Raw genomic sequence first — 26,528 nt, 5'->3', positions numbered from 1 at the left:
CACTTCAGGGAAACACACAAGCCAATTTGGTCCGACTTAATAAGTTTAACAAAATCCAGGTGAAGGAATCTATCTGGAAAAACAGAAGACTCTTATGAGCAGCTCCAAGAAATAATTCTCTCGGGAAAGGGGAAAAAAGATGTGAATTCCTCCATACCAGGGTAGAAAGCAAGATGAAATTGGGTCTCACAAATGGGGAACATTCACGTAACCCCGACCTAAAACGGTGGTTTCCAAATATCTTAGGATTGTGAGACCTTCCTGGATTTTCTTCTCATGCTTTGTCTTAGAGGTAAAATCATGTTTGAAACTCACAAACTGTCTTATGATCTCTCACCCCCCACCCCCAACAAAGACCACAGACAAGAACATCATGGAACCAACTTTAAAAACTCGAGTCTGTCTCATTCTGAATGTGAGACATGAGGGACACCATTCCTAAAGTTTAAAAGAAATTGTTCTGCATTCTGGCAGGATCTGCTCTGTTTCATGCGCAGAGCGTACGGCCATGTCTGCAACTCGGGAGAGCTCCATTTAACGTGTGCGAGGACTCAGTAACATATAGCCATGCTTTTTACAGAGCCCTTGTGTTCCCAGATTGGCTTCAGGTTTGAAACCCTAACCTTCAGTTATGTGTCCTGTTAATAATAGGTCTCACCTCCCCAAGCGTACAAGAGACGAGAGAGCTAGCAAGGGAATGGTTTCCAGAGTGGGAGAATCCGAGAGAGAGGGCAAGACTGCAGCCTGGACCAACCAATCCATGGAGAATACTGCTCACCCACCTGCAGGCTCTGCCATGTTCCTCCTGACACCCCCAGGGATCTCCTGCCCACCCCCCAATATACCACCCAAGGGACACGTGGGACCCCACAAAGGCACACAGGCACTGGTGTTGAGAGCCGGCTGCATGAGGTGAAGACACAGATCCGCTCCTTAAAGGGAAGGTTTAGAAGTGCATGGCTAAAATCCAACCCAATTATACAATGATTCTTGGCTGAGAATAAGCTAATGGCTGGAGCTCTATAGAATCTCAAGATTTTTCTATGAAAGTCCTACCACCAAACAGCTGTGAAAATAAACCAACGTTCCTTGATGGGCTTCCTCCAAGTGCGGGACCACCCCAAACCCTGCTGTCTTGGGCCACTGTTTATCACAAACACTGCGGTCTACATCCAGAGGACGGATCTCAAGGGGAACTTTCTGTTGACGCTCCTTCCACAACATGGAGATGGGAGACAGGCACACTCAGAGATGATCAGAGATGACAGCAAATGCCATCTTCAGCTTTCCAGGCCAGTGATTTAAGTGCAGGAACAGGGGTGGAATGTAGTGGATATTCACTTGGAAGGTGTGCAAAGTCTCTTATTCACAGAACTCCCATCTCCTAAACAGAAATGACAAACCCCAAGCAAAATTCAACACATCTTTTTTATGTATAAATGGGTCAGTGGTACAGAGGGAGTTACTTTTTATAAATATCTGCAGCAAATCCCCTAAAAAAGATGTGAATAAAAACTCTCTCTCAGCACAAAGGGCCTATTCCTTCCCCAAAAGTGTTAAATTCCCGAGAGCCTGTGCTTAGCCAAACACTTGTGGGGCCTCCTGGGAAGAACAGGAGGACTTTGGGACCGAGAGGAGAGCCTTCCCATCTCCCCGGAGAGCGGAGGTGACTTGAAGGTCATCTGTTGCCCAGGACTTGGGAGTGATTAAACTGTTTCTTCCCAAGACTTGAGGTCTTCTTTGTCAAGCTGCTGATTAAGCGGTCTCTCTGTTTCCTGGCAGTGGCCCAGAGGGAGGGAGGAGAGGAACCTACAATCGCGTGAGGAAGTAAAAAACTCTGGGTATTTTGATAAAAAAAAACACTTGGTAATCACTGTAACCCTGTAAAGCCGATGTATCGAATTCACCAGAGGGAAAATTGTAGATTAGCATTCTGGAAGCTATAAACACAAGCATTTCTTTAGGAAGATCATTACTTAGCACCAATGTCTCTCTCTCTCTCATAATTTTTCCTTTTCCTCCAAGCCCTTGGCTGTGATCAGTGCTGTCGGACCACAGCTCAGCAGTACTTTTAATCAGTAACACAGCTGGGCTCGAAGGGGAGTGCCGTCACATGCCACAGAACAAACAGCGCGCTCACACCAAACGGCAAGGCTCCTGGGGGCATCCTGGCTGGGGAATCGCAAGCGGACCCCCGGCCTCTTCCTGGGGCTGCTCTTTGGCAATCCAGGCTCAGGGGCTTTACTCGAAGCGACGCAGGTGGTTGTACAGCGACTGGACGTAGGTGAAGACACACATGGGGTCCGGCTTGCGGCCCATCACCATCATGTCCTCCACTTCGATGAGGCGCTCACAGTTGGCCAGATTCCTGAAACACACAAGCCCCGTCAGAACGGTGGTCCCAGCCATCAGCCAGCCCCACAGCCGCGACAGGGCCGGTGTCTCGGTCCCGGGAACAGAGCTCAGCCGGCAGCCAGAGGTTCCCAAGGACCCACCAGCGGGGAATTCAGATAACCCTGGCAGAACCCTTGGAGTCACTGACTCCAATACAATGTTTCCCAAACTCCCAGATTTATGAGCCACCTGTACAATTCATGTTTTCATTTAAACAGACTTACTTTATTTAATTTGGGTTTTTTTTTTAGAGACAGGGGCTTGCTCTGTTGCCCAGGCATGAGTACAGAGGCACGATCCTAGCTTATTGCAGCCTCGATCTCCTAGGCCCAAGTGATCCTCACGCCTTGTCTTCCCAAGTAGCTGTGATTCCAGGCACACACCACCATGCCCAGCTAGTTGTTTGTTTTTTTGTTTTGTTTTTGAGACAGAGTTTTGCTCTTGTTGCCCAGGCTGGAGCGCAGTGGCACAATCTTGGCTCACTGCAACCTCTGCCTCCCGGGTTCGAGTGATTCTCCTGTCTCAGCCTCCCGAGTAGCTGGGATTACAGGTGTCTGCCACCACGCCTGGCTAATTTTTTTTTTGTATTTTTAGTAGAGACAAGGTTTCACCATGTTGGCCAGGCTGGTCTCGATCTCCTGACCTCAGGTGATCCACCTGCCTTGGCCTCCCAAAGTGCTGTGATTACAGGCGTGAGACACCACGCCCGGCCCAGCTAGTTTTTTAAAAATAGTTTTGTAGAGATGGGGTCTCACTATGTTACCCAGACTGGTCTTGAACGCCTGCCTCAAGCGATCTTCCCACCTCAGCCTCCTGAGTAGCTGTGATTACAGGCACAGGCGACCCACAGTACCTGGCATATTGTATTTAAATTTGAAGTGAAACTATATTTAAGTTAAAAAAAAAAAAAGTAGGCTGGATGTGGTGGCTCACACCTGTAATCCCAGCACTTTGGGAGGCCGAGGCAGGCGGGTCACCTGAGGTCAGGAGTTCGAGACCAGCCTGACCAATATGGTGAAACCTTGTCTCTACTAAAAATACAAAAATTAGCCGGGCGTGGTGGCGTGTGCCTGTAGTCCCAGCTACTCGGGAGGCTGAGGCAGGAGAATTGCTTGAACCCAGGAGGCAGAGGTTGCAGTGAGCCGAGATCGTGCGATTGCACTCCAGCCTGGGGGCAGAGCAAGAAAGACTCCGTCTCAAAAAAAAAAAGAGATTGCTTAAACTCATTGCTGCCCCACCCCCAGCCCCCCAGGGCCCTCTGCCTCCTGCCCTGGGAAATACTGGTTTCACTTTTGGCTCACTGGTTTAGACTCGTGTGTACACTGTGGCCTTTCACTGGGGCTCAGAGGGAGGCTGAAGGCCTCGTGGACGTGGGAGGAGGAACGTCAACAGTCAAGACGCATCGCCCTGCTCATCTCAGCAGCGAGTCCTGAAATAACAACAGACAGCCTCTGGAATGCCCAGCCCTGCGCCCCCTGCCTCCTCTGACTCTGCTTACAGTATGCCTGGGTCCCCTGGGCACCAGATGGAGCCGGCCTGACATTATCAGGCAGAACCAAAAAGGCAAAAACGATCGCACTTGGCCCGATTGTCAGTGCCCTTCCTTCAGCAGCTGTGTGTACTTTTGTAGTTCCAGGGGTCTCCAGTCTATTTTTTTTCCCATCAATAAGCGCATGGCTGTCAGGGTTGAAATCCCAGCTCCATCTCTTCCGAGCTATATATCTGTGGGCAACACACTTCATTTCTCCGGGCTTCAGTTTCTCCATCTGTGAATTATATCCACCTCGAAAGAGTGGTATGAAAATTATAAACCCATGCAAATCAGGTGGAACAGCAAAGGGCACATTGAAAGAGCTAATAAATGTTAAAGATGAGGCCGGGCACAGTGGCTCATGCCTGTCATCCCAGCACTTTGGAAGGCCGAGGCAGGAGGATCACTTGAGCCTGGGAGTTTGAGACCAGCCTGGACAACACAGCAAAACCCCGTCTCTATAAAAAGTTTTAAAAATTAGCCAGGCATGGTGGTGTGCACCTGTAGTCGCAGCTACTCAAGGCTGAGGTGAGAGGATCGCTTGAGGCCAGGAGGTGGAGGCTCCAGTGAGCCCAGATTGCACCACTGCACTCCAGCCTGGGGTACAGAGCCAGACCCTGCCTCAAAAAAAAAAAAAAAAAAAAAAAAAACCAAACAAAAAAGTCAGAGATTATTCTTGTTGCCATTTTGACGATCATGCCTTGCTTTAAGAAGCAGGGTGGATCACAGAGAAGAGGCCTGAATGTGAGATCAAAACAGTAGAGTTCAAACCCCGACTCCTCCCATTGCTTCACTGTTCTGTGCCCATTTCCTTAGCACAAAATCGGAATACTGGCCGGGCACGGTGGCTCACACCTGTAATCCCGGCACTTTAGGAAGCCGAGGCGGGCAGATTGCCTGAGGCCAGGAGTTCCAAACCAGCCTGACCAACATGGTGAAACCCTGTCTCTACTAAAAACACAAAATTAGCCAGGCATGGTGGTGCACGCCTGAAATCCCAGCTACTTGGGAGACTGAGGCTGGAGAATCGCTTGAACCCAGGAGGTGGAGGTTGCAGTGAGCCGAGATCGTGCTACTGCACTCCAGCCTGCTGACAGAGCGAGACTCTGTCTCAAAAAAAAAGAAAAAAATCAGAATACCACCTCTGCTGTCCCTCCCAGTGGGCCTGTTGTGAGGCTGTGATTCCACAATGTGTCTTTATGCATCTTGTTCCCCAGAGAGCCCAGCCAGAGGGGAGACCCCAGCGAGCGAGCAAGACTCCTCTGACCCATCCCAGTTTGGCACGACGCACTCAGCACTTTCTACCAGGACTCACGCGGCTGTGTGCTCCAGAGACAAGACTGTAACATTACCCGCAGGCCCTGCTCTGCTGTGCTGGCTGGACGCCAGGCCTCCTACCAGAAACCAAATGTCAAGGCGAAATGGAGGCATCTGTCCTGGATCCCCTCCCCACCTCCTGCTTGGAGTTGTAGCGGGTGGCCTGTAAGTGAATCCAACAGGCTTTGTGGGGTGATGAGTGGGTTTGGCCCAATGAGCGGGCACCCTTTCTCCCTGGGACAGGCCAGGGCAGGGCTCGATGTCAGGGAAGCTGGCCCTCTGATGCGAGCAGGCGTGCAAAGGTGCTTTGTCGATGATAAAGCATTGAAAAATCTGAGTTCAGGCCGGGCGCGGTGGCTCATGCCTGTCATCCCAACATTTTAAGAGGCTGAGGTGGGCAGATCATTTGAGGTCAGGAGTTGGAGACCATCCTGGCTAACATGGTGAAACCCCGTCTCTACTAAAAATACAAAAATTAGCTGGGTGTGGTGGCGTATGCCTGCAGTCCCAGCTACTCGGGAGGCTGAGGCAGGAGAATCACTTGAACTCGGGAGGCGGAGGTTGCAGTGAGCCAAGATCATGCCACTGCACTCCAGCCTGGGCGACAGAGTGAGACTCTATCTCAAGGGGAAAAAAAAGGAAAGAAAAGAAAATCTGAGTTCAGAGAGGCTGGGGACCTGAGTTCACCTTCCTGAGCGATCATTTCATATCTGGTGCCCTCCTTTCCACCTGCCACACAGCTGGGGCACCTCCACTCCCACACCTGCTATTTGGAGGATCCCAGGTGTGTAGAAACAGGCTCCACACATGCTCTGGTTATCAGCACTGACGGCGGTGGCCTCAGTGGTGCCACATGTTAAGTAGGGACAGCATGAGGACTCTAGGACCTCCAACCATCCAAACACCCCCGTCAGAAGCACCAATCACCTCTATAAAGGCCCTGCCTCAGCTTGTTCATCTCAGGGTCCAGGGAAAGGGGACCCAATTTCCTCCAAGGACAGCTCAGAACCCTCTGCAGATGCTCTGACCACGAGAAAGTTCTTCTAACATTTCTTACGCTATTTGTGCCTGTGTGTACTTTCTACCTGCTGACCCCATAAGGCTACTTATTCTCAGTCTGATTTTTCCCCCATGTCAGAACCCTTCACACGCCAGAAGAAAACCTTCCTTCCATGTCTTTCTCTGAACTAAACAGCTCTGGTTCCTTAACTGTTCCCACAAAGGATACCCAGGACCCACCTCTCCGAACCAGGTCTTGCCACTCCCTAACCCACTTCATAGGAGGCCCTCAGAATTGCCGGCATTTTCCGGGTGTTGTCCAGCCTCTGCAGAAGACAGCAAGCTGACCCCTCCTCATTCTAGAGGCTGCGTTTACCCTCTGATAATGACCCCTGGTGGGCCCCTGCCCTGGTGGCAAGTCTTCAAGTCCAGGGTGGCAGTCAGGATGGGAGTGGATGCCATGCCCTGTGTCATCCTCCGCTGTCCAGATCGCCGGCTTCCCCAGCAGGCAACCAGGGCACTGGGCCATGATCCATATGGTCCCCACTGTTGTTATTTCTAAGTTGAGTACATGAGAGTGTAGGGGTTCCTAGGGGAGCAGGGAGGGGTCACAATATGCAACACGCAACCACCGTCTCCTGGCTCCCTCTTTTCTTCACCTGCCACCTTTGCTCTTCACCCACTTCTTTTCCTGGGGAGCTCCAAATTCCGCCTCCCACAGGCAGAGAGCATTCTCTGTCTTTGAAGCACAGCTCACAGCAGACCTTCAAGGGCACCCACCTTCCACGGATCACCTGAGGTCAGGAGTTCGTGACCAGCCTGGGCAACATGGCAAAACCCCGTCTCTACTAAAAATACAAAAATTAGCTAGGTGCCGTGGCTCAAGCCTGTAATCCCAGCACTTTGGGAGGCTGAGGCGAGAGGATCACCTGAGGTCAGGAGTTCAAGACCAGCCTGGCCAACATGGTGAAACCCCATCTCTACTAGAAATACAAAAATTAGCTGGGCATGGTGGCGCATGCCTGTAATCCCAGCTACTCGGGAGGCTGAGGCAGGAGAATCGCTTGAATCCAGGAGGTGGAAGTTGCAGTGAGCTGAGATTATTCCACTGCACTCCAGCCTGGGCAACAAGAACGAAACTCCATCTCAAAAAAAAAAAAAAAAAAAAAAAAAAAAGCACCTGCCTTCCACCCCAGATTGTCCCTGCAAAGGGAGCACTCTCCCTCAGAGACATGGTGCCAGCTTCAATGGCACAGGTTCATCATACCGAATCCAAAATGCGCCAATGAGCATTTCCTTTCAGCATTGTGTCTGGCACTCAAAAAGTTTCAGATTTTTGAGCCTTTGGATTTTTTAAATTTGGGATGCTCAACCGGTAAGTATTATATAATGCAAATATTCCAAAATCTAAAATCCAAAACACTTCTGGTCCCAGGCCATTTTGGATAAGGGATATTTGACCTATGATGGCAAGATTCCTGGAAGCTGCAGACATAGGCTGGACAAAACTCGGGAGACAGCAGAAAAAGAAAGTGATGATCAGCATTGACATTTATAAAAAATGTTTGAGTCTCCAAATATTAGAGGTCCCAATTGCCTTTTAAATTAAAAAAAAAACAACAACTGCTTTTGTAAAAATGATACAGGTTTGTTTTAATGATTCAAACAGGCCAAGTGCGGTGGTTCATGCCTGTAATCCCAGCACTTTGGGAGGCTGAGACGGGAGGATCACTTGAGGCCAGGAGTTTGAGACCAGCCTGGCCAACATAGTTAGACCCCGTCTCTAAAAAAAAAAAAATAGCCAAGTGTGGGGGTGTGTGCCTGTAGTCCCAGCTACTTGGGAGGCCGAGGCAGGAGGATCACTTGAGCTTGGGAGTCTGAGGCTACAGTGAGCTGTGATTGCACCACTGTATTCCAGCCTGGGAGACAAAGTGTGATCTTGTGTCAATCAATCAATCAATCAATCAATCAATCATTCAAACAGAAAGTTCAAAGGAGAAAGTAAAAATCACTTTAAATGCCATTCCATAGCAAGAACCAGAGTTAACATGGGCTGACTACATTTTTTTTTTTGAGATGAGGTCTCACTCTGTTGCCCAGGCTGGAGTGCAGTGGCACCATCTGGGTTCACTGCAATCTCTGCCATCCGGGCTCAAACGATCCTCCCACTTCAGCCTCCCAAGTAGCTGGGACCACAGGTGTGCACCACCACACCAAGATAATTTTTTGTATTTTCTGTAAAGGTGAGGTCTTGCCACGTTGCCCAACCTGGTCTCAAACTCCTAAGCTCAAGCAATCCACCTGCCTTGGCCTCCCAAAGTCCTGGGATTGGATCGCAGGCATGAGCCACTGTGCGCGGCCAATCCCGACGACCATTTTTAAAGTGTCTTTGCTTACGCCCCGCATCAGTGGGGTGGGGAAAAGGCTGAAAGGGTTTTCTCCTACTCCTGTCTATTGTGAGCTTCAGCTACCACAGGGCTGTCCTGTAAGGGAGCTGGAGGATGGGCTTGGGGGTTATTTTTATTTTTTTAAGCCTGCTCTAAATGCAGACCAGGATGCCAGGACTGGGACTACTGCCTCCTATCTGGTTTTAGACAGAGACACATGGGCACTACAAATAGCCTGGAAGGCCCTTCTGCTCCAGCGTAACCCGAGAGCAGGACACATTCCCCGCAGGGCAAGCGGGAAGCCTGGGGCTGCACGTCCTGCACTGGGCCTCTGCAGAGGTGGAAAGGACGGGTGCAGAAGGGTCAGGCGCCCGCCCGACTCAGCCCCTTCCATAAAAGGGGCCGGTCCTCCCTCGTTCCAGACCCTGAACACCTGTCAGGCAAGGGAAGCTCGCTGTGCTGTCAACACTGCATCATTCACACAGATTAGGCCACCGGGAATCTCTGGGACCATAAATTATCAGGTGGGGGTTGGGGAAGGGCAGCACACACCACTTTTACTCCAAAGGTCCCTGGTGCATCCTTGATCCTTGTGCCTTTAAGGCACTTGCTCGGGGAAATGCTTCATTCCTCACGCAAGGTGAACCCGTGGTTTGGGGACCTGTGTCCTCCTTTCCCTTCCAGAAGTTGTCTTGTCAGACCCCAGGCTCCTCTCATCCCACCCTGCCTGCCCCCAGGCTGCCTTTCTTAGCTCTGTGGTCCTGCTGCCTGCACGACCCTGGATCTGCTCAGCCTTTGCCGCAAACCTCAGGAACATCGGTGAGGACACTGACAGCTAGTACCCTCAGGCAGGTGTCCCTGCGCTTTCCTGCCAGCTCTTCTAACCAGCCTATTGTCCAACAAATGAGGTGATCCAAGCTGTCGTCCTCCCCAGAGGCCCCAGGCAGGCGAGCCAGTCTTCCCAGCCCTCTCCCCCTAGTACCTGGGAGATAATCTTACGGATGAGTCATGAGGGGAGGCCTCTTCCCAGGCTCTGAGCAAACTCCCCCGACCCCCCGGCACAGGCCTGCGGTGGACGCCCCTCCCCACGCCCTCGAGTCAGCAGAAAAGCAAGAACTCATCTCAGCGGCTTCATCAGACCCATCCTCCCTGCCCCCTCCACAGCTGGAGCAGGCCCAGGCCACCGGGAGGCGGGGCCCACGTTTTTACCCTGCTGTGTGCTCCGGGAAGGCAGAAGGCAAAACCTGGACCAGCCTCCGCCGCTGCCTCCCCATCACCCCACCAAGCTGGGAATAGAAGAAACATCTGTTTGGAGTCTAGAAGCTCCCTGAACTCAAACCTCGTGCTGGGGAAGCACAGCCCGGAATCGCTCTGGTTCTGGCTGCCAAGGGGAGCTGTGTTCCCTGCAGGCTGGGGCATGGGGCCACCACCCCATGGCCCGGGGCATCCCTCTCCCTGCCACAGCCTAGCCTGGTCTAGGGCAGAGGGTGACCAAGGTGACCAGGGCATAAGCGGGCATCACTGGACTTAGACAAGGAAGAATCCTGCAAGACAGTGTCGCCTCACCCTGGGGTGGGTGTGGGGGTGACCTCGCCGCTGGAGTGGGTGCTGGAGTGACCTTGCCGCTGGGGTGGGTGCTGGGGTATCCACCCCGATACCCTGACCCTGTGTCCTCTGACAGTCTGATTGACGGTTGCCACGTCTGGGCTTCGGCAGCTGGGCCCCATCCTCATGAGCTGCCCGCTCCCTGCACCACCCATTCCCCTTGGCTCCACCACACCATCGTCTGGATCCAGTTGCACAACACGCTCGTCCAGAGCTGTTTCTGCAATTAGGATGACAGCTAACCCCAAGCAGCCAAGACAGAAAGGCTTTTAAAGTATACAAGGAGTTCTTGTGACCCCAGGGGGCTGAGTCCAAGCGCGTCATCCAAGGCAACATAACAGGGCTGATACCGATATTCCAAAAACTCAGGCTAAGGAGCTCAGAGCCAGTCTCGATTCTGCCCTCGGAGAGAGAGTTGCTGCCCCAGAGAGGGGCAGCTATCTCAGGTCAAAGCGAGACTTACAATACCAAGTGCAGGTTACAAGACCCTCTGGCTCTGATTCTTTCCCTGGCCAGGCTCAGGGGCCGGGGTGGTGGGCCAGGGCCGGGGCTGGGGCCGGGGCCAGGTGGTTGGTGGTTGGGCTGGGAAAGGAATGAGGAAGGCAGGTGAGGCCTGGGGTGAGGCTCCTTTAACCCAACAAGCCCATGAGGACCACTTTTTTTTTTTTTTTAGAGATGGCGTCTCACTCTGCCACCCAGGCTGGAGTACAGTGGTGCGATCTCAGCTCACTGCAACCTCTTTCTCTTGGGTTCTAACAATTCTCCTGCCTCAGCCTCCTGAGTAGCTGGGACTCCAGGCGCCTGCCACCATGCCTGGCTAATTTTTTGTATTTTAGTAGAGACAGGGTTTCGCCGTGTTGCCCAAGCTGGTCTCGAACTCCTGAGCTCAGGCAATCCACCCGCCTTGGCCTCCCAAAGTGCTAGGATTACAGGTGGGAGCCACCGTGCCCGGCCAAGGACCACTCTTAAATGTGGGCACTGAGGACTCAGACCAGAAACAAACAAGGTCGGTTGTAGACCGACGTCAGAGGCTGACAACACAAGGCACAAAGGCAGGGAGAGAATAACAAACGCGCCCTCCAGAAGACTCGGCTTTGGGGACGGCCTTACTTCTCTCTGAGCTTCAGAGAGCTTAGCATTGGGCAGCCCCGAACACCACTCATCTGTGCCCTGCTCCCTGCCCTGGGGGCCAGGATGAACCACAGCCCTGGCCCTCTGTCTTCAGATTGGGTTCAGTCACCATGAGGCCCTGGCGTGAGGCAGGAGGGGAATGAGGTTGGGACACTTATCCACAGCTCCCTCCCTGCCAGGTCGCAGCGAGCTGACTGCAACCATTTGCCCAAAGCGCAGCTCTTATCAGACAGTCCTCCGCACCCAGGCCACGGGCTGAGATCCGCCACACTGCTGTTATCCCGAGGCTGCTGCATGAGGCCTGACCCACGACCTCATTCCTGCCCACGCCTTTGTAAAGGGTCCCTTTATTAAACTCTCCTCGCCCAGTTCTTGACTGTGCCCCCGTCCGCCGCTGGAGCCCTGGCAGACAGACCTGACTTTGCCAACTCTCCTGAGGCCCTCGGCCAAAAACCAAATCCCGAACTGGCTTTCCAGGTGCCTCCTGACCCCAGAGCCACCCCCAAATCTTCACCCTAGAGGTGGGACCTAAGAAGCTAGGCAATTTCACAATAAATGCCAGAACACCATTTCGGGAAGGAAAATCTTATTGGAAGCAAAAATCTCCTTTTAAGTGGCCCAGGTCATATCCAGTTCCTTGCTAACTGGCAGCTGTGGCTCATGCAAGCAACGGCATCTCTCCATCAGTCCAGAGAGGACAGATTCAGAGCTTTGGGGGACCCTGTCCTGCTGCCCTTCATGCCTGGTCTGTGGCTGGTCTCCCAGAGTGCACCTCAGAAGCTGGGCACCTAGCAAAAAGGGCAGGTCCCCAGGAACGGAGTCCCCCTCCACCACTGAGTGCTGTGTGACTCTGGGAAAATCCCTCTCCAGGCCTCAGTCTTCCCATCTGCACAAGAGGTACACAGACCACATGGCCCCAGGGTCCTTCAGCTTTGCAGACAGCGGCCCGACATCCCACTCGCCCCCATGCCCCACCTGGGGAAGAAGTTGGGCTCAGGGACTGGGCTGGGGCTGGTAGCCAGCAGGAGCCACCATACTCACTCGGCCATGGTGAAAGCCAGCTCGAAGTTCTTCTGCCTCTGCGTGGGGCTCAGGGAGTTGTAGTCAAAGGCATCGGGGAAGAAGGAGTGTACCAGGGCGCAGAAGGCCATGCCGTCGCTCCAGCTGGAGGAGAAGTTCTGCAGGTCCACGTGCTGCAACAGGGTGAGTGGGGTCAGTGCGGGAGGGCAGCTGGGCACCCACTCGGAAGGCATAATTACCGTGGTTCCTACCCCTTAACCCCAGCCTCAGCGGGCTCCTGCCCAGGCGGGAGAACAAGGACAGGGGCGACGCTTGGTCAAGCTTTTAGCTGGGGCGTCCCAGCAGCCGGAGGGGAGCCGGGGCTCACCTGGTAGCCCAGCGTCTTGCTGCGGCACCACTCGAGCAGGATCTGCTTGATGCTGCTGGCGCTGGCCACGCCGAAGCTCTGCGACCGCTTCAGCCTGGCCCGGGCCTCGCCTTTCCCCCTGCGGAGAGACGGCAGGCCTGCTGCGGGGGCCCCTCCAGCTGCCATCTCCCAGTGCGGGTCTGGGGCAGGGGAGGCTGTCCTGGCACCACCAAGGAGGGTGCTCCCACCTGCTCTGCTCACCCAGGGGAGATGCTGGTGGCACACGTGGGCTCAGCTGTGCCCACGTCCACGGCACAGCCCATGTACCAGCGACACAGCCTCCTTTGATGGTATGTGGCAGGACCGTCCACACCCCTACAGCCCTCCAGGTCCCCTGTTTATTCCCCATCCAGGAAGCAGGGGTCACCTGGGAATCCTGAGACAGAAGACCTTGGCTCACATGGCCCTGGGCCCCTGCCTTCTGCTTTGGAACACCTTTCCCAGCTCCTTCCTCCCACTCCTCCTTCTGAGCTCCCCTCTTAATGGGGTGCCTCCTTCCCTGATGGCTCTTTCCTAGCCAGGAGGGATGAGTTCCTCTTCTGGGCCCCAAGGACAGTCCCTAATGGCCTAGGCCAGGTTGTTTGGGGCCAGTGGGGAGATGTCCGGGGTCGGTCCCCCTCACTAGAGTCGAGCAGGGACTGGCTGTCGTCTTCATTATCCCACAAGGCCTGGGCCACACCCTGCACACAGCAGGCATCAATACCACGCTTGGGCCACACTCTGCACACAGCAGGCATCAATACCACGCTTGGGCCACACCCTGCACACAGCAGGCATCAATACCACGCTTGGGCCACACCCTGCACACAGCAGACATCAATACCACGCTTGGGCCACACCCTGCACACAGCAGGCATCAATACCACGCGTGGGCCACACCCTGCACACAGCAGACATCAATACCACGCTTGGGCCACACCCTGCACACAGCAGGCATCAATACCACGCGTGGGCCACACCCTGCACACAGCAGACATCAATACCACGCTTGGGCCACACCCTGCACACAGCAGACATCAATACCACGCTTGGGCCACACTCTGCACACAGCAGGCATCAATACCATGCACTGACACGAGGACTGGCTGAATATGCAAAGGTGGGCTGGAGCCTGAGGAGCCGTCGCTCGAGACCTAGTAGCAGGCTGGAGGCCACTCGGCCCCGTGGCATCACCTTCGGTCCTTGGGCAAGACCAACCCCATGCTGGGGCTCCCAGCTCTGGCCAGGAATCCCAGTCCCCATCCAGTCCCCGGTCATGCCCAGAAACCAGAGGAGCCACAACCCCTGGGGAATGTGGGTGTGAGGGCAGCCTGGCGGCACCAGAGACAGGACAGGGGGCCTCGGGAATGGAGGAGGAGAGAGGGGCTCTCACCAAGCCTTCCTGGCTCCCTGCCTCACAGCCATCTCCCCCAACAACTGGGGTCCTCTGTCCCCCCAAGCTGCCCTGTGGCCCAGCCCTAACTTTGTGCCTTGCCCAAGAGATCTTGTCCTGGGCAACAGCGCCCTGGGGAACAGGACAGGGCTGAACCTTGCCCTGCTGCACCCACCCAAGCCCCGTCTGGGTCTGGGCACACCGTGGGGCCGGGCCTGTCTGTGAGTGGGCATCCGTACTTGCCGGCCGCCGTTTCCTGCTCCCACTTCTCAAACAATGCTTTCCGGGCCTGCGCCTCCGAGGTGCGGGGCAGCGTCTGCGACCTCACCAGCTCCCTGCGACGCTCCCCCTGCCGATGGACCTGAGTTATGGCTGGCGGCTGCGGGGACACGGGCGACTGGGGTGGTGTCACCAGCGGTGGGCTGAGGAAAGAATCGCCGAGTTGGGACCTGGGCCCAGCAGCCATCACTAGCTCACCAGGCCCCAAGGTCTCCATTGCACTGAGTGTGGACAAGGCAGCCTGCACCGTGATGGGCGCTCAGAGAAGAGGCCCCCTTGCTCCGGTCCCTAGCTGGTTTGACAGGTTTTCTGAATTGTGCTGGCTGGAGGGACTGGCCAATAGGCTCAACTCAGGAGACGCTGGGCCCGATCTGGACATAACCACCCCTTTGCAGGTGTCAATGCCTGGGGAGGACAGAGGGACCCCCTCCTCAGGCAGGAGGTGTGCTCAGAACCAGCCCCGGAGGGACCAGGCCTCCTGCCTCCACCACCATGCGATAAGACCCCCTTTGTTTTCCCCAGAACGGTTTGCCAGAAAGTCACAATTCTCCTTTTATTATTAAAGAAAAAAAAAAAAGCCAAGCCTGCTACCCTACCCCCATCCCCAATCACAGTCCCGCTGGCTGGCTGGGGGGAGGCCTGTGCCACAGGGAAGGACCTGCTCACCTGCCCCTGCTCGCAGCCCGTGGGCAGGAAGTTCCGGGCTCTGAGGGACCCCAGCTGGCTGGGATGGAAGAAGACAAAGCTCCTGTCCTCTCCCTCCTGCCGGCTGAGAGGCCTCCTCCAATATTTTTTTGTTTTTTATTCATTTATTTATTTATTTATTTATTTATTTTTTGTAGATAGAGTCTCACTCTGTTACCTAGGCTGGAGAGCAGTGGCACCATCTTGGCTCACTGCAAACTCCGCTTCCCGAGTTCAAGCGATTCTCCTGCCTCAGCGTCCCAAGTAGCTGGGATTACAGGCACCCACCACCATGCCCAGCTAATTTTTGTATTTTTAGTGGAGACAGCGTTTTGCCATGTTGGCCAGTCTGGTCTCGAACTCTTGACCTCAGGTGATCCACCCACCTCAACCTCCCAAAGTGCTGGGATTACAGGTGTGAGCCACCGCGCCCGGCCACTCCTCCAATCTTTTGACTGACTTGAAGGTCCCACAAAGAAACCAGGCTGTGACCATATTTCTCCAAATGAAACTCTCCACCGAGGCCCACTGCCTCACTCCCCCTGCTCAGACCTTCCCCCCATCCTGCCGCCCAGTGCTCCCGAGATCCAGCCCCGAGCCTTACCAGGAGGCACCAACCCCAGGGCCAACCCTGGGCGGCCTGCGTCCAAAGCAGAGAAGACACCTGGGGCGCAGCGACCCCACAGGAACACAGGCCCTGACTCACCTATTGCTGTGTTTGCTTGCTGTCACTGCCCCATAGCCAGAGCTTGGCACAGACCACGTGAAAGAGGAATTCTTCTCTGTGGAAGAGAGAGGGAGAGAAGTAACAAACCCTGGCCCCAGGGAGGGCCCGCCATAGCCTCCCTTCCTCTGACCCAGCCCTGCCTCATTTACCCGGCATCGCTGCATGGATGAGCTAACCTTCTGGGCTAAGCTGGCCCTGCCTCAGCAGACAGTGGAGGAGAAAGGAGGATGGGCACACACAGCAACAACATCAAAGAGGTCTTTTCAACTGTCCCCGCCCTGCTCTTGAGAGCACAGAGCCCAGGGCCCGTGCCATGTATCCAGTGAACACTGCTCCCAAACCCTCCCTATAGAGGCCCACACGGCTTCCCCCAGGACATACCACGGAGGACTGGCCACAGGCCCAAGTCAGGCCTGGGGCCTTGAGGGAGGGGACAGTGCCCAACGTGCAGGGCAAGAGGCCACCTTCCAACTGTAATAAAAGCCACGGTCGCCCCCACCAGGGGATGACGCTATTTCACAGCATCTCTGGGCAGTAGCCCGGGAGGATGGGCTAAGGGAAGGGGCTGACATGGCAGGCAGAGGCAGGGCTGGGCTTAGCCCCTCGTTTTCCATGTCACCCACCGACTCCCTCTCCCCAGCCCCGGCCTTCCCTCTCCCATCCCAAGGGGAGGTCTGCCCCAAGGCCACGCTCTCCAGCTCATACCGCTAGGACTGGGAGTCCAGGGCGTGATGACCTCGCTGGGGCTTGGGTTGAGGCCCCCCAGGGTGGCAGCAGACATGGGTGATAGAGCCGCAGCTGAGGTCTCCCCAGAGAACCTGTCAGAGACTCGGGTGATGGCCGTGACTGGCTGGTGGGGCAGCCGCAAGGAGAGGCTCACAGGACGAGGCCTGGGGGGATCTGGTGCTGAGAAGTTTTGGGCAATCTCAGGGGGTCCATCGCCTGGACCTGGAACATGTGACCAGCATGGGTGGGTGGTCAGCTGTGGCAGCCACAGGGGCCTGGGACCTCCCAGGAGGGCTCTAGCCTCCCTGGGCCCTCCTCCCACCTCCTCTAGGAAGGCCTCCCTGACTGCTCCAGCCTCTCTGACCTCCCCTACCAGGGATATCTTACTGCTCCAACCAGAATTGATTTTTCCCAACTTCCCCTCATGGCCAGCTTAATAAATACTAGTCGGCTCCTCAGCCTCTATTTGCTTTCCTCTAGAAACAGGAGAGCTCACTACCTCCTGAGATCTCCCAACTTCCCTCTGTGTTTCACAAGTTCTACTGAATGACGCTGCTCTCCTGGCAGCCTCTCTCCCTGCTGGGGTTCAGGATAGAGTCCCCCCGATGCCAGGCCAAGGGCCAGCCTGGCACAGATACCTGACCAAGGCCTTACTTAACCCCCAAACCTACCCAGCCACCCCTCCTCTGCCGTCAGCCCTACCTGCCCCCGGCTGGTGCCCATTTTCCATGATGCAGGAGTTTGAGGTCTTTCTCATCTCCGACTCACTGGCCTCATCGTGATCCAAACTCTACAGAGACACAAATGTCACCGAGACCCCATCAGCTAGGGCCAGCTGCCCACCCCCAAAAGCTGCCCACCCCCAAATCCCCTCCCGTTCTGGCAAAACACCAATCATGTTGAGAGAAAACAGCCCCCAGGAAGAAAGTGACGGGCCAAGTCACACAGCAAAAGCTGGGATGGCCCCACTCCAACTGCTGAGCCCCTGCGATCCTGGGAGGCAAACACCTCCACTGGGCTCCTCCCAGAGTCCCAAAAAGCTGAGGACAGAAGTCAAGATGGAGGGTTCCAATGACATTAGGCCCCCTCACCTTTTCCCCCAGGCTGGACCAGATGATGGGGTCAGGAGTGCCTCGCCCCCTGCCCCTCTCAGCTGGGCCAGGTCGGCATGGCTACCCGTGCAGGGGCAGCAGGAACCAGTGGCACCAGGTCCTTCTGGGCCAACGATGAGCTACGGAGCCCTGATCACGATGAGATCTTTGCATGGGAGGCGGGGACACAAGATTTACCCGGCTATGCAGAGTGCAAGCGCCTGATCAGCTCCGTGCGACTCATCCATCCCAGCTGGGCAGTAGTAGTGGGTGGGGCAGGTGGGGGCAGACAAGACAGCCAAGGCCAAGAGCCAGTGGGGAGCCTGGGATCCAGGCTGTGCTGCCACCCACCCATGTGACCTGGGCCACATCAGTTCCCCTCTGGGTCTGTTTCCCTGTTTGAGAAACGGGAGCAGGCTAGGCAAGTGCCACTCGGCATCTACCAAACATCCAGCCCTTTTTCCGGTGCTATCCTTATAGCAACACCTTCTAAACACCACTTATAGCAACTGTCCTCCCCGGTAGGTGCTGCCAGAGCCATTTCAGAGATGGGGCCCGAGGACTCCCAGAGGGCATGTGCCCTGCCCAAAGTTATACAGCAAAAAACAGCTGGCACGTGTGGCCAGGGGAGAAGTCCTCAACCTTGGTCCTGCCCTCCTCACAGCCAGGGCGTGTGAACGGCTGAGAGTGTCTGTGGGGCTGGTGGGGGCTCCACCACGAGCCCAGGACGAGCGGCTTGAGAGGTCGGCTGTGCCTCTCCCAGATGCCCCCTGGTCTACAAGGTTCCCAGGCAAATGATGTTGCATCCCTGGCCCCAGATGGCTCAGCTCCTCTTGCAACCAGTGCGGGAGGTGCCACCCTGCCATTGGGGAATCAGTCTGGGAGGGGAGCCAGGCTGGTGAACAGAGGGGGCCGTGTCAGGATAAGGATGCCTCACACAGGCTTCATCTGACCCAGTGGGGCAAGGAGGGCTTCTCAGAGGCAGGGGTGCCTGAGCCACATCCAGAGTGAGCCCGGTGGAGGAGCAAGGGAGGGCACTCCCAGCAGAGTGATTAGTGTCTGCTTTTGCAGAGAGACATCAAGGCACAGGTATCCTGATCATGCCCGTCCAGGACGCAGGCAGATGGAGAAGTGCCCTGCCGCCCAAGCTGCCTGCCCTGCCGCCCAAGCTGCTGGCCCTGGGTACTTGACGCCTTAGACAAGAAGGAGCCCAAGGTCCTCGGCTCTGTGTTTCAGGCACACCCTTCAGAAGATGCCAGAGAGTGGAGACCAGATGGCAAGACACTTCACTAGTCCTGGGCAGGAACCTGGGGAGGGGAGATGGGGCACTGGGAGGGCCACGGGCAAGAAGGACTCGGAGCTTTGGGGAAAAGGGATCTGGCTGGGAGACTGGGTGGACATGGAAGAGGAAGGGTGCCAAGCCTCTCCCAAGCCCAGACTTGGTGGGTCAGGGCAGGTTTAGGGGCTAAATGAGGGTTTCAGTTGGGACATGTTGAGGGCCTGGGGCACCTGGAGCATCAGGGAGCTGAGGAGGTAGCTGGATTTTTGAGTCTGGAGTTTAAGAGAAAAGAAGGACGAACATGGAAAAACAGGAGTCAGGGGCATGCACTGGGCTCCTGGAAGCCCAGCAGAGGAAGAGCAGCTTAGGGGCCCTGGGATGAGGCCCCCACATTTCAGGAAGCAACAGAGCAGTCTGCGGAGAATGAGGAGCAGCCAGAGACGTAGGAGGAGCCCCTGAAGAATGGTGAGAAAGCCAAGGCCAGGAAGGAAGGGAGTCAAGAAGCCAGGCACGGGGCCAGGCGCGGTGGCTCACGCCTGTCATCCTAGCACTTTGGGAGGCCGAGGCGGGTGGATCACTTGAGGTCACGAGTTCAAGACCAGCCTGGCCAACGTGGTGAAACCCCATCTCTACTAAAAATACAACAATTAGCCAGGCATGGTGGTGGGTGCCTGTAATCCCAGCTACTCAGGAGGCTGAGGCATGAGAATCGCTTAAACCCAGGAGATGGAGGTTGCAGTGAGCCAAGATTGCACCACTGCACTCCAGCCTGAGCAACAGAGCGAGACTCTGTCTCAAAAAAAAAAAAAAAAAAAAAAAAAAAAAAAAAAAAAAAAAAAAAAGCCAGGTGCGTCCAAAGGCAGCCTGGGGTTGAGGAAAAGGTGAAGAGGAAATCCAACCAGGCATCCATTGGGTTCAGCAAAAGAAGAGGTCATGGGTGATCAGAAGCGTGGGGCGGGGGACAGGGGGTTGGGGGACAGGAGATGGCCTAGCAGAGGGGTCCCAGAGAAATGAAGACAGCGCAGTAACTTTAGCCCTGAGCGAAGCCAGGGGAAAGGGTCTGAGGGGTTTTTCCAGAAGGAAGAGGCAAGACCACATTCATAGGGTGAGAAAGGTGAGGGGAGCATCTGCAGAGCGGGACCACTGGGGAGCTCACAGCAGACAGGACCCAGAGCCTGGGAAGAGCCAGCCTTGGAGAGGAGGCGACCCCTGAGCTCTTGATTCAAGAGTGGGAGGAGGAGAGGCCAGGCCCACTCTCAGAAACGCAAGAAAAGCACAGGGCGTCTCCCAGCACGCAGAGCAGAACGGGTGCCCCTAGAGCCACGCTGCGGCCGTGTAGACCATGTCGGCAGGGGGAGGAGAACCAGCCAGTCCAGCTGGAACCCCGGCCCCCACAGTCACCAGGCTCTGGGGTCTCCGTGCCCCCTCACCCACCCTGCTCTCGTCTGACAGGTTCCACAGGTCCAGGCGGGGCTCTGGGGGGAAAGGCTGAGGGTGAAACCATTTTCCCAGGAAATATGTTTCTCTATAGGTGGGTGGGAGGCCCTCCGCAGATGCCTGTCCCTGCACGTTGCAGCCCCTCAACAACCCCCATGATGCCCCAGGGGACCAGGCGCTACACCAGACTGGGAGTAAGTTCTATCCTGGTTAGATCACTGCTAAGGGTTCTCCGGCAAAGGGAGGAGGGGAAGGGGCTGGGCTAATGCAGGCTGGGGTGTAGGGCTGAGCCCAGACTCCCAAGCTCCCCTGCCCCACGACTAGAAGCATTCGTCACCTGGGGAAAGGGGTCTGCCCGTGCCTTAGGTCAAGGCGCAAGGGGCTATTCTGAGACCATCCTCCAACCCATCATCACACAGATGGGGAAAGCAAGACGTGGGGTGGGGCAGGGGGAACCCCTAAACCCCACACCATGACTAAAGGTAGTGGCAGAGCCAAAGTACGGGACTCGGGTCTCCCACCCCAAACCAGGGCTCTGTCCACAAAGTGCTCTGGCCTTCTAGGGGGCAGAGAGGACAACTCAAGGCAAAGTTGTCTTCCAGGACCTGGGTCAGTATGAGCCCCGGCCCCATGGGATCTGTCTTAGCCAATGAGTGTGAGGAAAAGGCGGGGGACTGGGGTCACCACCCAGTGGGACCTTCACAGAACTCAGAGGTCTTCAACCAAAGGGCTGGGCTGGAACGAGCTGTCCCCGCAGAGTCCCCAGTGGGTTACTGCTCTCCTTTGATGGGGGCAGCCTGTCGCCGTCATGCGGAAGGAAACCAGGGAGGGGCCTCGGTATGCTGGGACCGGGGCAGAAATCGCTGGAGAGCCCTGGGGCTGGGGACAGGTCCTGTTGAGCTGGCCTGGTACCCCCCAAGATTCCCCAGCTCGGCTTTGTTTTGAGAAAGGGGAGGTGCCCCATGAGGGAGCCCAGGCCTGAGGCACTCACGGGAAAGGCGGAAGGGTGATGAGGTAAGTCTGATTTCAGGGACCTTCTTATTGGAAAAGCTTTTAGACATTTTTGTAGGGGAAGGAAGAATATTTCAGGCCTTCTGGGTGCTGCCTGATCTGCACGGGCCCATCCATGGGGACGAGACCCACGCAGGGCCAGAGCCCCATCCTAAGACAGTTCACACTGCTGACCCGGCCCTCCTCCACTCACAACACCGTTTGAAAGGACTTAATTCAAACTTCTCCCTAAAGCATTTAACTCTCTTATCGCACAGTGTGTCTGGGAAAGGAAGGCAGATAAGGCGAGTCTGGCTTCTTTCATGGTCGGGCCTCTGACATGGGGCTCCTGGCAGCTGTTCCTGGGGCCTCCGCTGCCTCGGGCATAGGGACCCAGTGGCTCCAGCTCAGCTGAGGATGACATTTCCAGGCCACAGCTCTGGCCCAACCTGCTGGGGCCTGGGCCTGGCCTCAAGCTGCCACCATCCACCCCCGGCCCCAAGCTGGCTCTCAGCTCCCTGCTCCCAGCCAGACAGGATTACTTGATCAACCCTTCCTGTATTGAGTTCAGGGGACATTTATATATTGGAGACAATCTACCTCCAATCCTTCAGTCCCCAGTTTGAAAGGAACTGGGTCTCTAAATGTCATTGCTTGTTACAGAGGGGTAGTGTGACACCAACCTCTACAATGCCAGGTAGTACAGCCATCCCTGGCTCATGTGGATGGGATGAGATTGTCCCACCCAGACCCCCACTACACAGACACAAAGTCTGAGAGGTCAGACACCCAGCAGCCTGGTGTGGGGCTGTGACTCTATGTCCATGGTCCACACTCCAGTCTCACCCTGAGCCCCGGCTCCTTGAGTGTGACCAAGCTCTTGATCACATCGTGCTGGTCACAGGACACGAGCCAGCACATGGGGATGGCTCCACACAGTCCCTCCTCTCAATGCTGGACACTGGTCTGGAGGCTGTGACAATGCTCCTGAGACGGAGGACAGCAAGAGAGATGGGGATTGGTGCTTCGGGGGTCAGCCCAGCGGCAGCTGCCTCAGGCCCCGGGAGCCAGGGCTCAAGGGGTGCAGAGCCTCTAACCCAACTGGGGACCATAGCCATGTTCCACCCACAGTGCTCAGCTACCCTTGCTGCTCATGCCCCTGGGTGCCTGGGTCTCCATCTTCACTCCCCAACAGGCCGACGCATCTTCACTGACCCCAGCCTCTTCTTCCAGGAGGGCTCCTTCTCTGGTTTGCTGAGAGTGCACTCAGGTCCTCCTCACTCCCTGGCAGTTCCCCGGTCTGGTTTTTAATTCCTTCAGACTCTTTGCTTCTGCCCAGAGAGCTCCCTAATCTCCAGGCTTGCTCACTGTGTGGAGCACCAGATCCATGAATCCACCTGCTCTGGGACAGCTTCACCTGGAGTTCCCATAGTCCCCTCATGTTCAGCACGACCCGGGTGGAACCCAGCATCTCACCCCAGATCTGTGACCCAGCAGTCCCCCAAGTCAGAGCTCCCCTCTGAGACTACCCCATCTGCTCATTCCCCCTCTGAAACCCTGTCCAAGGCAGCCCCTCTACACACCAAGGCCCACGGCCCAGCTCAGACCTTTCCTTTCTCCTTGGACCATCACAATCAAGTTACCCACCTCCAGCCACCCTCCACCTTCCATCCACCCCGAAGAGGGCTTGCCAGACACAAAGAAGACCCTCATCCTGAGCTTCATCCACCAACTCCTAACCTAGTGGACTAGCTTGGTGCCAGTGAACAATGGCTAATCTCCATTGACAAAAATCACGACTGGAGAGAATTCCCTCTCTCTCTCTCTCTCTCTCTCTCTCTTTGTGTGTACACACACATCTACATGTATATGTGAACCTGACATTTTTTTTTTTAATTTGGACAGCTGCTGCTATGAGCAGACAAATAGCAAATGCATGTTCAAATAAAACCTCAGAAACAACCGATGACACAGTTGATGAGGCACGTGTGAGCTCACAGTGGTGATTTTAGACCATGGTCACGTAGAGTGTCATGTTCATAAGACAGACTTAAGTGTATCCACATTTCCAGACATTTCACACGGAGCACTGGGACACTCCCGGGTTCTGCTACCATGACATGTTTAAGAACTTCTTACAGGCCGGGCAAAGCCCAACTCCTCTGCCCAGCACACTAGGGGCATTCGCCACTGCCCACTCCACTCGCATACCTCGAGGCTGCACTCACCAGTGAGTACTTTCAGCCTTTCTGAGGCTTCCTGCACAGCCCCCACCCCACCCTCATCTGCACCAGTAGCAGCAAGCCCCAGGCCCCCAGCACAAAGCCTTGCTGAGATACCCACTGAGAAGGGGCTAACTACTGTGTTTGGAGCAAAACATCTCTGGCTGCCCAAACTTGGTCTGGGGCCATCTCCCACCCTGGATGGGACCTCCAGGGGGAAGGCCCAATCTGATACCCTCCTCCAGGCCCCCTAGGGTCCAGCCCAGCCCACAGCGGGAAATCTGAGAGCCCCAGGGATTGCACCAAGGAGGGAGCAGGTGCAGGCTACACAGCCCCAGATCCTGGGAACCCAACCCGAGAGCACATGCCTGATCAGGATGGAAAATCCCACCCAAGGGCCACTGCACACACCATGGACACATTCTAACTGCTCTGGGTGGCCCATGCGCAAGGTAGTGACTGGTCCACGTCGGCCTCCGCCCTATCCCCACGTGGTGTGGGCCTCTGGCTAGTCACTGACCCGAGGAATCTAGACACGGCTCAAGGCGGGTTTCCACCTCTCTCCCTTCACGGTAAGGGATTTACCCCCTGCGATGGAGAGTTCCCAAAAGCCGCTGCTGATCGCGTCCCCCTCGACCCCCCTCCCCACCCATCCAGGGGCCTGAGTTCTCAATCTGAGTTAATCAATAACCAGAGCCGTCAGGCCTCAGTGAAGCGGCAACGCAGGGGAGCGTGAATGGAGGGTGGGGGTCAGGCAGGGGTGTCGACCATTCCAACATGCCCCGCGTGGCTCCAGGCAGTGCTGAACAGTCAGGGGCCGGACTTCGGCGCCCAAGCCGTTGATGTCATGGGACAGAGGAGAGAGGGAGACAGGACTCTGAGCAAACAGAGCCTGGCTCTAAAACAGGGCGGAGGACCAAGACAGGTGCAGCTGGCAGGCTCAGCGGTCCTCCCCCCGCCCTCTCCAACTCCGGAGGGGCGGCAGGACCCCCATCACCTAGTCCGAGCGGCCGGTGAAGGCCCCAACCCCGCAGACGCGAGCAGAGGCAGGCAGTCGGGGCGAAGGGGCGGCACCCGGTTCGGAGCCCCACTCCCTGGCGCCAGCGCACGCGCTCCCCCGGGCTCACCTGGCCGCGGCCGGACAGCGAGAAGGTGGCGTGGCTGGCGAAGCGTGCGCTGCCCAGGCGGGGCGCGCGGTCGGGAACCCCGGGCGCGGGCGGGGGGCTGGGCGTGCCGGGAGTGCCGGGCACCGGGGACATCCCGCTGGCCAAGCCCAGCGCCTCCACCTGGCGCGTCAGGCGCTCGAGCTGCGCCTGCAGCCGCTGGTTGTCCCGCTGCAGGTCGGCCACCGTGCGCGCCAGGGGGCCGGCCAGGCGCATCGCCTCTGCCACTCGCCGCTCCACGCCGCGCTGCAGCCCCCGCATGTCCTCGTGCAGCGCGCGCACCGCACCCTCCAGCGCCGCCTCGTAGCGGCCCAGCGCCTCGCGCACAGTGCGCGCCTCCTGGGCGTCGGGGGCCGGCTCCATGGCCCAGCAGAGCGCGCGGGTCGAGAGCGGGCCAGACGGGGGAGAAGATCCGAGCTCCGCAGCTCCGGGCCGCGACTGGCCGTCCGTGGCTGGCTTCGCTCGAGGGGCTGCCGGGGAGGCGGGCGCGGGGCGGGGCCTCGGGGGCGGAGCCGGGGACGACTCCGGGACACCCCCCTGCCCTGGAGCCCAGCGGGACGGTGCGGAGGGAGAGCTCGCCCAGCCTCTCCCCTCCCCGGCTCTTAACTGAGCCCTGCGACCCCGGAGGAGCGGCGTGCGGCCTGCGGGAGGGGCGGCGGGCCCACCCGAAGAAGGCCCTGGCCCCCCTGGACCGTAGAGAGCACACCCGGGCTGACGCGTTCGCTCGGGACTCTCACCCGCAAGGCCCAGGTTCCTCCGGGGGCGGAGACTCCCGGGCTAATGGGGACACCTACAGCTCCCACAGCTGCCGCCCCACTCCGCGGGGCCCTCCCTATGCAGCGGCCACGGCTCTCGCAGGCACACGCTCACCTGTGGGACCTTCGCCTGGAATTTCTTGTATCTGTTCTAAGACCTCAGGGAGGAGACAGGTGGTGAGGTCCCCTCCCTGACTCTGCGACTACGCGCTGTCCCCTCCCAGTCCTACTCTGTATAGCAAGATCTTCGTGCCCTTCCCACTAGTGGTCGGTAGAGGCTCCCGACCCACCAAGGGGCCTCCGTTAGGAGATCCTGGAGAGGCTAAGGGCAGACAGAGAAAGAAGGGTGTGCTGGAGCTGCATCTCCAAATCCTGGAATGGGCGGCTTTGCGACTAATCGCCCCCTCCCGCAATGAGAGTCTCAGTCACTGGCCTCTACCCGTAGGCCAGGGGTCTTACCCCTATTCCTTCTCAATGCTCTTTATGGCTGAACCCAGATAGTTCCCCCTTCCAAATGCACACCCCAAACCATCACCAGAAAAGGGAAGAAGGGAAACAGGTGTTGCTTTAGGACGATGGGATGATGGGCAAAGCTAACTCTAAGTTTTCGCTATATCATAAAGCTGATTTAAAATAAAAATGAGAACATATCCTCCTTTGTGCAAAAAACCTTTCCTAATTGGCCTTCTTTTTCCCAAGCCTGGCCTGCCTGAAAGAGGCCCAGAGGCTGGGCATGCATAGCCAGCTGACCTGCAGGAAGGAGAAGTCTGAAAGGCTTGTTCATATCATGTTCTGCTCCCAAGGTTGTTTGGAGCCCACAAACCCTCCTGGACTGGCCATCATTGCCCCAAAGGAACTGGAGCAGCCTGACAGATGCTAAATGCTGGTTCTCTCCCCCGCCCCCAGCCCCAAGGGGACAGGAAGGAACGCTGGGTTACCTAATCCAAGGAGCCTTCCAGCAATTATTTCATGAAAAAGGCAAATGCCAAAAGGTGTGCATGCTGCATATATGT

At 56.5% G+C, this 26,528-nt stretch overlaps 1 protein-coding gene across 3 annotated transcripts, besides 7 other annotated features; it reads right to left on the bottom strand.

Annotated features, from left to right (window-relative positions):
- Nucleotides 1-1,409: 1,409 nt before the first annotated feature.
- Nucleotides 1,410-25,722, bottom strand: SMTNL2 (smoothelin like 2). 3 transcript variants are annotated; one of them, NM_198501.3, is made up of 8 exons: nucleotides 25,631-25,722; nucleotides 17,281-17,368; nucleotides 16,558-16,800; nucleotides 15,832-15,907; nucleotides 14,402-14,584; nucleotides 12,752-12,869; nucleotides 12,406-12,557; nucleotides 1,410-2,368 (listed from the first exon to the last, which is right to left on the bottom strand). In NM_198501.3, exons 2-8 carry the CDS (start codon nucleotides 17,333-17,335, stop codon nucleotides 2,242-2,244), a joined length of 954 nt encoding a protein of 317 aa, NP_940903.2. In that variant the 5' UTR covers nucleotides 17,336-17,368; nucleotides 25,631-25,722; the 3' UTR covers nucleotides 1,410-2,241. The 3 variants fall into 3 exon arrangements, with proteins under 3 accessions (NP_940903.2, NP_001108446.1, NP_001362290.1); NM_001114974.2 differs by lacking the exon at nucleotides 25,631-25,722 and adding an exon at nucleotides 24,725-25,200; NM_001375361.1 differs by lacking the exons at nucleotides 16,558-16,800; nucleotides 25,631-25,722 and adding an exon at nucleotides 24,725-25,200.
- Nucleotides 8,373-9,265: an enhancer, noted in NCBI's record as "NANOG-H3K4me1 hESC enhancer chr17:4503759-4504651 (GRCh37/hg19 assembly coordinates)". NCBI's record gives its function as "activates a minimal SCP1, AML or CMV promoter by ChIP-STARR-seq in naive and primed H9 embryonic stem cells {active_cell/tissue: H9 hESC(naive and primed)}" and the evidence as "EXISTENCE:reporter gene assay evidence [ECO:0000049][PMID:30033119]".
- Nucleotides 9,266-10,158: an enhancer, noted in NCBI's record as "NANOG-H3K4me1 hESC enhancer chr17:4502866-4503758 (GRCh37/hg19 assembly coordinates)". NCBI's record gives its function as "activates a minimal SCP1, AML or CMV promoter by ChIP-STARR-seq in naive and primed H9 embryonic stem cells {active_cell/tissue: H9 hESC(naive and primed)}" and the evidence as "EXISTENCE:reporter gene assay evidence [ECO:0000049][PMID:30033119]".
- Nucleotides 10,159-11,051: an enhancer, noted in NCBI's record as "H3K4me1 hESC enhancer chr17:4501973-4502865 (GRCh37/hg19 assembly coordinates)". NCBI's record gives its function as "activates a minimal SCP1, AML or CMV promoter by ChIP-STARR-seq in naive and primed H9 embryonic stem cells {active_cell/tissue: H9 hESC(naive and primed)}" and the evidence as "EXISTENCE:reporter gene assay evidence [ECO:0000049][PMID:30033119]".
- Nucleotides 16,282-16,853: an enhancer, noted in NCBI's record as "H3K4me1 hESC enhancer chr17:4496171-4496742 (GRCh37/hg19 assembly coordinates)". NCBI's record gives its function as "activates a minimal SCP1, AML or CMV promoter by ChIP-STARR-seq in naive H9 embryonic stem cells {active_cell/tissue: H9 hESC(naive)}" and the evidence as "EXISTENCE:reporter gene assay evidence [ECO:0000049][PMID:30033119]".
- Nucleotides 23,604-24,221: an enhancer, noted in NCBI's record as "H3K4me1 hESC enhancer chr17:4488803-4489420 (GRCh37/hg19 assembly coordinates)". NCBI's record gives its function as "activates a minimal SCP1, AML or CMV promoter by ChIP-STARR-seq in primed H9 embryonic stem cells {active_cell/tissue: H9 hESC(primed)}" and the evidence as "EXISTENCE:reporter gene assay evidence [ECO:0000049][PMID:30033119]".
- Nucleotides 24,842-25,461: an enhancer, noted in NCBI's record as "H3K4me1 hESC enhancer chr17:4487563-4488182 (GRCh37/hg19 assembly coordinates)". NCBI's record gives its function as "activates a minimal SCP1, AML or CMV promoter by ChIP-STARR-seq in naive H9 embryonic stem cells {active_cell/tissue: H9 hESC(naive)}" and the evidence as "EXISTENCE:reporter gene assay evidence [ECO:0000049][PMID:30033119]".
- Nucleotides 25,462-26,081: an enhancer, noted in NCBI's record as "H3K4me1 hESC enhancer chr17:4486943-4487562 (GRCh37/hg19 assembly coordinates)". NCBI's record gives its function as "activates a minimal SCP1, AML or CMV promoter by ChIP-STARR-seq in naive H9 embryonic stem cells {active_cell/tissue: H9 hESC(naive)}" and the evidence as "EXISTENCE:reporter gene assay evidence [ECO:0000049][PMID:30033119]".

Source organism: Homo sapiens, chromosome 17 (genome assembly GCF_000001405.40).
Source record: "Homo sapiens chromosome 17, GRCh38.p14 Primary Assembly".
In the NCBI taxonomy this organism is placed as follows: domain Eukaryota; kingdom Metazoa; phylum Chordata; class Mammalia; order Primates; family Hominidae; genus Homo; species Homo sapiens.
The sequence above is the reverse complement of the archived record's forward strand: the minus strand, read 5'-3'. Positions and strand labels throughout refer to the sequence as shown.

Bases quoted from the DNA above. Each gene is read 5' to 3' on its own strand.
- SMTNL2 (NM_001114974.2), bottom strand. From the start codon at position 25,123: ATGGAGCCGGCCCCCGACGCCCAGGAGGCGCGCACTGTGCGCGAGGCG. The intron at 17,369-24,724 runs GTGAGCCCGGGG...GTGTCTCTGTAG, and splicing joins CGCTGTCCGGCCGCGGCCAG to AGTTTGGATCACGATGAGGC. The intron at 16,801-17,280 runs GTAGGGCTGACG...CACATGTTCCAG, and splicing joins TGGGCACCAGCCGGGGGCAG to GTCCAGGCGATGGACCCCCT.